General features: G+C 34.4%; 1 non-coding gene across 1 annotated transcript; it reads right to left on the reverse strand.

The window, feature by feature from the left end:
* Positions 1–776: 776 nt before the first annotated feature.
* LOC124902344 (small nucleolar RNA U13) lies at positions 777–879 on the reverse strand. Its single transcript, XR_007061920.1, has one exon. It is a non-coding gene; the product is annotated as a small nucleolar RNA U13 (small nucleolar RNA).
* Between the last annotated feature and the right edge of the window lie 10,458 nt (positions 880–11,337).

An 11,337-nucleotide genomic window follows, 5' to 3' on the forward strand; every position in this document is an offset into this window, starting at 1 on the left:
ATTGTGAACTACAACTGTAAGCTGTATAAATGGCAAAGTCAAGATGTGGAAAAGAGCACAAGACTTCTCACTGACATCAAAGCATATGATACACAATTCAAAGAAAATTATTTATTTCACTGCATCTCATTCAATGCATGCAGATATCATGATATATATTTCCATAATTGAGAGAATAAAAATAAATTTTAAACATAAAAGATAAAGATTTACATGTTAGAGTGAAAAATTAGTTTCTCACTTCAACTTATTGTTAAGAAAAGATATTTTTTCAATTTATTTAATCTTAAAATGTGAGAAAGGCCTCATGCCCAGTGTGCACTCAGGAAAAAATGAAACAAAATCAAAGAATAGAAAATAGGATGTAACAAGAAACTTTTTTTCTTTTGATTCTTTTCATGTCAAAGGGCCAGAAAGCTAGAAAGTTATTGTTTGAAAATATATTTTGTAGTAGGAAATATCGTAGCTTGTTATAAAGTGTAAGTCTTATATTAGTAAGAGTTCCACAACAATTGTATGGCAAATCCTCTTGATAATGAGATTCTCACTTTCTATTTCTATACAAACAATTCTGGGATCATCTCTAAATGTACTTGTCTCTGAGAATGTTTTTGAAGACAAAAAATATGAGACAAGTGTATGAGCAGAAAATAAAAAACAATGTAAACTTTAGTTGATTTATTAATTTCTATTTTTTTTACATGATTTGAGATGGCCAGGTCTACTTCTATATTACTAGACAAGTGTATTTCCTCTAGTACTTTTTTTTCTTTTTACATCAGAAGGATAATATGCCGATGTCATAAAATGTTTGAGGGAGATACATCTCACACACAAATGTGAAAACCTAATCATCACACTTATGAACTACAAAAGGATCCTCCTCCAGTCCTTTAGTCATGGTTATTTATACATCTTTTTCATTAATTTAGAAGTGACCATCACATTGTAAATTTAAATCTCAATGGAGTGAGGAAAGAAAGAACAGGTTAACTTTAAATAAGACAGAAAAGAAACACCAAGAACCTAACCATGTCAGTCCTGGCTCCTGCCTGCTCACATCTGCATAGGCAACTATCACAGGTCCATTGTCTGAGCACATGCTAGCTTCACCCAACATGAAGCAACCTAAACCCCAACTGCCCTAAGTAATTTTCTTGGAATTTCTCCATTTCCCTTGTGTTATGTTGATAACTTATGACCCTGCAGATTTTTTCTCACTCTTCTTATGTAGACTAAGGGTCTGTGTTAGTCTGGGAGGGAAGGGAACTGTTAGGACAATGTTTTGAAGTGGCACAACTGTTTCAAATGCTTCTTTAACAATGTCCAGGAAAACTGATTATTTATGATATCTCTCTTTTTCTTTAGTCCTAGAATCTAGACAGAAATTTCTTGATAATAGAAAGAGTCCTCAATATTGTTTTATATAAAAAGCACATATCCATGAAAATCAAATGTTACTAATTTCATACTAAAGATGAGAAACAAAAATATTCAAATTCCTATCGTATGCAATTACAGATTCTTGGTAGAATACTCAGTGTGTCATGAATATTCTAGAAAATATAGAAAATATCTCATTTATTAATGAAAAGATGTAGAAAGCATTTTATTTTTTAGTTTATTTACAATGCTATTCCCAGAAATAACAGTCAAATAACACTCACCAGATTTTTGTTAACCTCTGCGTTATCGATTGAACGTTTACTTCCCTGCAAAACTCATATGTTGAAATTCTTACCCCAAGTTTCATGGTTTTGAGAGATAGACACTTACAGATGTAAATTTAGGTCATGAGGGTGGGGTCTTCATGAATGGGATTAATGCTGGTATAAAAGAGACCCCAGAAAGCTTTCTTACTCTCTTTCCAGCCTGTGAGAATACAATGAAAGGACAGCAGGCTGTAAGCTGAAAGAGGGTTCTCAACAGAACCTGACTATGCTAGCACCGTGATCTTTGGCTTCTAGCTTCCAGAGCTATGAGAAATCAATTAATATTGTTAATAAGCTACTCACTCTATGGTAATTTGTTATAGCAGCCCAAACTAAGACACTTTGCAAGCAATTTTTGTACTTCCTATTTGCTTCCATTCCCTGTCTCTATTACACATGTGCATACATTTGCTCCCAATTTAATTTAATACATTATTTTGTAATTATTGTTGCAGTTCCTTCTCAATTAATAAAGTGCACTACACTCCATATTTTTAATGATATAAATAAAAAGCAGCATCTATATTCTAATAAATAATCATTTAAAATATTCAAAAGAATACCTATTTAAAATCAGATTCTTAATATTTGACACTAAAACATACAATCATGTTAAACAAATATATTTTCAACAGAAAAAAGTTAACAAATAAATATAAAAACTATAATCTTTATATTTCTAAATCAGTAACAAAATTGGAAATAAGGCACAATATAATATGCACCTGAATACATAAAGACATACTTGCAATGTAAGTAAGTTTTTGTATTTAATCCTGACTTTAAAACAAAGCACCAATAGATATAGATATGTTTTCATTGCTATTCTTGATTTTGTGAACTTGTTTACTTTGCGGAGGATTCTTTCAGCAGTTAGTAATGTAGTCCTCTTGAGAAATGCTCTAGATAGGTTGCCTTAGGAAGTACTTAGTTTTATTGAATAATATGTCAGTGCCAGATATCTCTTATAAGAAACTTGATTTCTCTGGGAAATGTGTTCATTTGTGTGGCTTTTAGATAAATCAGTTTGGAAAATGGTCAGGAGGCATTTCAGCTCTTTTTCATTGCTTTTGTAAAAAGTAATATGGGCACTGTCACAATTTTACTGGGAACTCTAGATGAATTAGAGTTGTGAAGGTTACTGAAAACAAACTCTAAATTCCTTATAAACTATAGGAAGAAACACTGAAAACCAATAAAATATTCAGCAAATATAAAATAATAATTTCTAAAATAAACTAATACAACAGGAGAGTGACTAGAACTAAAATGCAGGTTTTGAGTACCAATAAAGTGTTTCAATAATCTAGAAAGATACTTATCTAACATCCATTCTCAGCTACATCCTCCCCAACAAAGTCAGAAACAAATACCCCAGCCCATCTCTCTGGGAGTTAAAATGAGAGGACAGGTGACTTTATAAACACTTAACACAACACTTGAAATCTACCTCAAATGAAACTATAGACAACATATACTCAACGAAATGGGATTAGTATCAGATTAAAAATAATCATACAGTTAATAATAAAAATAACAATACATAATTACGTATAGAATATTGAGAATATTAGTGATATATAAATTCCAGCTTTGCCAAAGTAAATTGTTAGAAGACAGAAAGGGGAAAATTGTAATAATATAAAAGAATCATCTAGAAAAATTTATCTATAGATAATAAGCATTCCTAAGTAGAGAACAGAAAGAAACCTCACAGTAGCTAAAAGCAGTAGTACAGACACTGGAAAAAAATATAGTAAAACAGGATCAAATTTCACTGAATGAAGTTTATAATTCAGATGTAAAATATCATAATCTCTTTAATTCCAGGCTAGCAATGTTTCTGCCAATGCAACATTTTCAAAAACCTTATTGGTCGCCTGTGCAATTCATGGGGGTCCAAGCCATTAGACAAGAGGTTCCTCCAAAGACATTTTTTGGATAACTCATCTTTATTCTTGGCTTCTGCTGAGATAGTTGATTGAATCCATGAGTCACACACATAATCTTTTTAGCAAAAGTTGTCTAGCTATACCCTTGGCATTCTTCTAACCACATGCTTGCTCATCTTGGTTATCTGGAGAGGTTGAGAATTTTCCAAATTATCAAGTTTTAGTTCTTTTTTATTAAAATGTCCTTTCTCTGTTTCTTTCTTTTTTCTTTTCTTTTTTTCTTTTCTTTTCTCCTTCCTTCCCTCCTTCCTTCCTTTCTCTTTCTTTCTTCCTCTCTCTCTATTTTTTTTTTTTTTTACATTTTACTATAAGCTGTAAGGAGGAAGTAAGGTCATACCTTCCACAATTTGCCTGAAAATCTCCTCAGCTCAGTATCCATGTTTATTTCTGACAGGATCTACTTTCCATCAAATGGTAGAACACAGTTGAGGCAAGTTTCCTGCCACTTCATGATAAGGATCTTCTTCCTTTCATCATCCAGTTCTATGTGCCTCATTTCCATGTGAGCTTTCACTAGAAGCACATGTAACACTCATATTTCTCTTTCTTTTTTTTTTTTTTTTTTGAGACGGAGTCTCACTCTGTGCCCCAGGCTGGAGTGCAGTGACTCGATCTCGGCTCACTGCAAGCTCCACCTCCCGAGTTCACGCCATTCTCCTGCCTCAGCCTCCCGAGTAGCTTGGACTACAGGTGCCTGCCACCATGCCCGGCTAATTTTCTGTATTTTTAGTAGAGACGGGTTTCACCGTGTTAGCCAGGATGGTCTCGATCTCCTGACCTCGTGATCTGCCCGCCTCGCCTCCCAAAGTGCTGGGATTGCAGGCGTGAGCCACCGTGCCTGACCAACATTCATGTTTCTTAGCAATTCCTTATTCGTGACAATACATGTAACTTTATAATGATGAAAGCATTATGTACAGTTATTACTTATTTGAGCTCTCACAATTGCCTTTAACAATCTATATTTATACCAATAATCTCAGAAATCTAGTATTTTCTATTTTGTGTCTCAGAAATACTTAGCTTCTGTTCATTACATAATTCCAAAGCCATTTCTAAATTTTTAATATTTGTTAAAGCATCTCCCCACTTCCTGGTACCAAAATTGGTGTCAGTCAGGGTTTTCTAAGGAAACAGAATATATATAAATATGTATTATTTATTTCAAAGAATTCACCTATATAATTTTGGGAGTCAGCAAGTCTCGAATCTGAAAGGCATGCTGGTAATTTGCAGGCAAAAGCTAATGTTGCAGTCTTTTTTCCTTAAACTTTTAGTTTCAGGGGTATATGTGCAGCTTTGTTATATAGGTAAATTGCATGTCACAGGGGTTTAGTGTACAGGTTATTTTGTCACCCAGGTAATAAGCATAGTATACAAAAGGTAGTTTTTCAATCCTCACCTTCCTCCCACCCTCCATCCTCTAGTAGGTCCCCTTGTCTATTATTCCCTTGTGTGTGTTCATGTATACTCAATATTTTAGCTCCCACTTACAAGTGAGAACATGCTATATTTGGTATTCTCTTCCTGAGATATTTTCCTTAGGATAATGATCTCCAGATAATGTTGCTGCAAAGGACATGATCTCATTCTTTTCACGGCTATGTAGTATTCCATGGTGTATATGTACACATTTTCTTTATCCAATCTACCATCGATGGGTATCTAGGTTGATTCCATGTCTTCGCTTGTGAATAGTTCTGCAGTAAACATACATGTGCATATATCTTTATGGTAAAATGATTTATATTCCTTTCGGTATATATCCAATAATGGGATTGTTTGGTCGAATGGTAGTTCTGTTTATCACCACACTGCTTTCCACAACGGCTGAACTAATTTACATTCTCACCAGAAGTGTATAAGTGTTTCCTTTTCTTCACAAATTTGCCAGCATCTGTTTTTTTTTACTTTTTTATTAATAGCCATTCTTATTAATATGTTGCAGTCTTGAGGCAGTATTTCCTTTTCAAAACTCTGATAAACTTCAGTTTTGCTCTAAGGCCTTTCAAGTGATTAAAAAACATCCACCAACGTTATGAAGGTACTCTCCTTTACTTTTAAGGTCAACTGATTATAAATGTTTACCACATCTACAGAATACCTTCACAGCAACACCAAGATCCATGTTTGATCAAATTACTGGGTAATATATCCTGGCCAAGTTTATACATAAAACTGTCATATTTGCCTTATAGGCTTTCTTAAATTTACTTTATTGAAAGTTGTAATAAGGAATCTCAGATTAGGCTTTGAAAAGCCTCTTGAAGCTAGAAAGACAAGCCAAAAATTTACCAGAAGATAATGCATATAGTTGCTATAAATGTGGGAAAATTCCTTTCTTTCTGAAGTTCCCAAAATATCACAAGGTTACTAGACCTTCCAGGAATTATTTTCGTAATGCATCCCTAAGACTTGATAGACTATAAGCCAGGTACCAGGGAAGTTATCCCAAGAGAGTTTTGTAAGCATTGCCTCCATAAAATTGGCCTTAGTTCCTTAGAAGTGTGTTGTAATATCAAAATAAATGAACATCATTCTCAAATATGATATTTTAGGCAAGGCCTTGGCTGTAAAACCAAAGTTATCAAGTATGTCTTTGTATTAAGGTGGATAGATTCGAATTAAAGCTACGCGAATAACTATATTGCCCTGACAACAAGAATATTCAATAAGAACTTCTAAATTCTGGAGGGCTTAGTAGGAGAAAAGATTGTCATTATTAAATATTTTGTCTTCAGCTTACAAAAGCATACTCCACTAAATTATTATAAGTTATATTTACTTATAAAAAAGATGAAATGTTTGATAACATACTCAGAAAATAGTATCTTAAAACAGCAGCAATATTCCAAACAATACCCGTGATCATCTTTTATCAGTTAATTCTGTCCTATGTAATTAATTTTTGTTCCAACTGATATTGAGTTAACATTCTGATGAATCCATTTTTTTCTCTACTAGAAATGTAAAAATCCTGATTTAGTTCACTGGTGTAGTCTCAAAATTGCTTAAATAATACCATCATAGGCCTGTACCCCCAAATACCTGATATAGTGCTTTTCTACATGTCTCTGAGATAGTCCTTGTCTGTTGCAGATAAAGCACTCTCAAATGTAACTGATGCAGAGCTTTTAGGGAAGCATCATAATGAAACAAAAAAGTCGATTACAAAAATCATGAAATGGCTGTAGTTAAATTGGTAATTTTTTTTTTTTTTTTGAGATGGAGTCTCGCTCTGTCACCCAGGCTGGAATGTCCTGGCCTGATCTGGGTTCACTGCAACCTCTGCCTCCAAGGTTCAAGCAATTCTCCTGCCTCAGCTTCCAGATTAGCTGGGGCTAGAGGCATGTGCCACCATACCCAGCTAATTTTTGTATTTTCAGTAGAGACAAGATTTCACCATGTTGGCCAGGCTGGTGTCAAACTCCCTACCTCAAGTGATCTGCTCGCCTTGGCCTCCCAAACTACGGAGATTACAGGCATGATCCACTGTGCCCAGCCCAAAATTAGTAATTTTCTATAGCAAAAGATGCAATGAGAGCTTATTATGAGAATAACGTAACTGACAACAAAGTTTTAGATAAAAATCTATAAATAATAATGTATTCCATTTTCAAAGAAGAGTAGATATAAGTGGCTTATAAAATAAACATAATTTACAGAAAAAACTGCATATAATAATCCTGATATAATATTTCATAAATACATTAGGCATATTTTTAGAATATACTAAGAAAGTATCAATGTTATATAGCAAAGAGATTCAGTAAGTCTGGAACAAGCCTAAACATCTTTATAATAACAAAACTCCATAGGTTAGGAGTGTGACTCCTACCTTGAAAATTACTGGCAAAGAAGATGCTAGATTCACATTAAAGAAGTAAAGTTGCAACCAAGTTAACATTTTAAATATAATTGCAATTATGACTGATATACTATCTGTGTTGTCTAAGCAGATAGAATCATATCACAAACAACAAAGGCACTGATAAATTTTCAGGACTTTTCATGTGCCATAAAATTTTCTAAAATATTCATATAAATAAGTTTGTACCTATACTAATATACCCATGGGAAGGCTGAGTATCTCTTTTTATTTGACCACCCTTGCTATGTAACTTATGAATAGTAACATATCAAGTAAGTTAGGTTATTTCTTGCACATTTCTTTTTAAAAGATGAAAAAAATAAATCCTTTGTGATTTTCCATGGGCCCTCTGGGAAACTTGAAAGACAATTATATGTGCAAAAGATATCAGTTAACATTTGTTTTTGAGAAGGCAAAGTATCAAAAGTTTTGAGAATAGTTGAACATTCAGTTGAGGTATGATTATAGGTTACTGAGAAACAATGCATGGCTGTCTAGTTAAACAATTGACAATGTTGGTACAAAAACAGAGATATACATCAATGGAACAGGACAGAGCCCTCAGAACTAACACCACACATCTACAACCATCTGATCTTTGACAAACCTGAGAAAAACAAGCTATGGGGAAAGGATTCCCTATTTAATAAATGGTGCTGGGAAAACTGGCTAGCCATATGTAGAAAGCTGAAACTGGATCCCTTCCTTACACCTTATACAAAAATTAATTCAAGATGGATTAAAGACTTAAATGTTAGACCTAAAACCATAAAATCCCTAGAAGAAAACCTAGGCAATACCATTCAGGACACAGGCATGGGCAAGGACTTCATGACTAAAACACCAAAAGCAATGGTAACAAAAGTCAAAATTGACAAATGGGATCTAATGAAACTAAAGAGCTTCTGCACAGCAAAAGAAACTACCATCAGTGTGAACAGGCAACCTACAGAATGGGAGAAAATTTTTGCAATCTACCCATCTGACAAAGGGCTAATATCCAGAATCTACAAAGAACTCAAACAAATTTACAAGAAAAAAAACAAACAACCCCATCAAAAAGTGGGCAAAGGATATGAACAGACACTTCTCAAAAGAAGACATTTATGCAACCAACATATACATGAAAAAATGCTCATCGTCACTGGCCATCAGAGAAATGCAAATCAAAACCACAATGAGATGCCATCTCACACCAGTTAGAATGGTGATCATTAAAAAGTCAGGAAACAACAGGTACTGGAGAGGACATGGAGAAATAGGAACACTTTTATACTGTTGGTGGGAGTGTAAACTAGTTCAACCATTGTGGAAGACAGTGTGGCGATTCCTCAAGGATCTAGAGCTAGAAAACCATTTGACCCAGCAATCCCATTACTGGGTATCTACCCAAAGGATTATAAATCACGCTACTATAAAGACACACACATACATATGTTTATTGTGGCACTATTCACAATAACAAAGACTTGGAACCAATGCAAATGTCCATCAATGATAGACTGGATTAAGAAAATGTGGCACATATATACCATGGAATACTATGCAGTCATAAAAAGGGATGAGTTCATGTCCTTTGTAGGGACATGGATGAAGCTGGAAATCATCATTCTGAGCAAACTATCACAAGGACAGAAAACCAAAGACTGCATGTTCTCACTCATAGGTGGGAATTGAACAATGAGAACACTTGGACACAGGGTGGGGAACATCACACACCGGGGCCTGTTGTGGGGTAGGGGGCTGGGGGAGGGATAGCATTAGGAGATATACCTAATGTAAATGACGAGTTAATGGGTGCAGCAAACCAACATGGCACATCTATACATATGTAACAAACCTGCATGTTGTGCACATCTACCCTAGAACTTAAAAAGTATAATAAAAAAAATAAAGTAAATATGGAAGTTACCATGATTATGAAAAACCTTGACTCTTTTCTAAGTAAAAACACTGTAGTTTTCTTAAATAATCATGGACATAATAAAGCCAACATAAAACAAGGAAAATTATTTTGGTAAAACACAAACTGCTATCCAGGCAGACTGCACACAGTTTAAAAAATAACTTTTTTTTTTTTTTTTTTTTTTTTTAGACAGAGTCTCACTCTGTCACCCAGGCTGGAGTGCAGTGGTTCAATCTCGGCTCGCTGCAACCTCCAACTCCCGGGTTCAAGCAGTTCTCCCACCTCAGCCTCCCGAGTAGCTGGGATTACAGGCACGTGCCATCATGTCTGGTTAATTTTTTTTCTTTTAATTTTTGTACAGAAAGGATTTCACTGTGTTGGCCAGACTCGTCTCGAACTCCTGACCTCAGGTGATACACCTGCCTCGGACTCCCAAAGTGTTGGAATTACAGGCGTGCGGCACTGTGCCCAGCCAAAAAAAAAAAGAAAAAGTTTTTACAGTCACTTATTGACAGCACAACAATTATACAAAAACATTTGCCATTTTAATAGACAGAAAACCAAATTCTACCTTTTTGTGAGTTTAGTATCTCATACTGAAGCTCTTTTTGAAAATCTTATAAAAATCCCATCAGACCTTAGTCTTCATGAAGGCAAATTCCCTTTCCCTGACACTTTTACAGCTTTTTATATATCTATACATTTCCCTTGCAGTGAAAGTTCTTAAAGTGGACAAAATTAACACATTTGTTAACAAATTCAAATGTATAAAGTTCCTAATTTGCATTAAAAAACAACAAAAAAGTACACCTTAAAATTATGCTTAGTAGTTAATATTTCAGCATTCTTTTACTTAGAAATAACACACGCTATCTATTTAAGATCCATACATTAACTCAATATAGTAACAGTCCAAGATTTTAAAAACATAAAGGTCTTAGAATTTGCTAACATGCAAATCGTATTATTGTTGAAGCAACCCAAGTGTTCATGGACAAATGAATGGATAAATAAAATGTAGTACATACATACAATGGAATGTTATTTAGCTTTTAAAAGGAAGAAAATTCTTACACTTGCTATATAACATGAATGAAACGTGAGGACACTGTGTTAAGATACATAAGCCAGTCACAAAAGGACAAATACTGCATGATTACACTGATACGAGGACCTTAGAGTAGTCAAATTCATAGAGCTAAAAAGTAGAATGGTACTTAGAATAGGCTAGGAAGAAAAGTGAATAAAGAGTTACTATTTAAGGAAGTACAGTTTCAGTTTCTCAAGATGGAAAGAGCTCTTGAGATGAATGGTAGGGATAGTTGTATAACAATGTGAATGTATTTAATGCCACTGAACTGTAAAAATGATTAACATGCTAAATTTTCAAATGTGTTTATTTTACCACTATTAAAAATGATTATAGCTATTATAAAAATATAAATATTATTTAAATAAAATATATTAAAATAATGATTCAATTTGGTTAAACACAGATTTACACTTCTAATATTGTAGTAGCCTTATCGTCTGAGGTCATACCTGGAGTTTTTTGTCTCACAACCAAGAAAATTAAGGCATGTGGACACAAAGAGTGAGGTTAGAACAAAAGTTTAATAAGCAAAAGAGGAAAGATCCTCACAGTGGAGAGGGGGCCTGAAAGATGGCTGCCAGCTATGAAGCTGAGTCTGAGGGTTTTTATGAACTGGAGGGAGATGAGTGTGCTGACTGGTCTGTAGGCCATCTTGGAGAAAGCACCACTTAGAAAGAGGTATGATAGTGCAAAGAACCAATTAGAGGCAGAGGTGAAGGCTTGGTCCGAGACCTTGGCATAAGACCAATCAGGGGCTGAAGTGATGATTTATCCTAAGTAAATGAAGACTCAGCCTATGGCCA

The sequence above is a fragment of the Homo sapiens genome, chromosome 9 (assembly GCF_000001405.40).
Source record: "Homo sapiens chromosome 9, GRCh38.p14 Primary Assembly".
Lineage (NCBI taxonomy): Eukaryota > Metazoa > Chordata > Mammalia > Primates > Hominidae > Homo > Homo sapiens.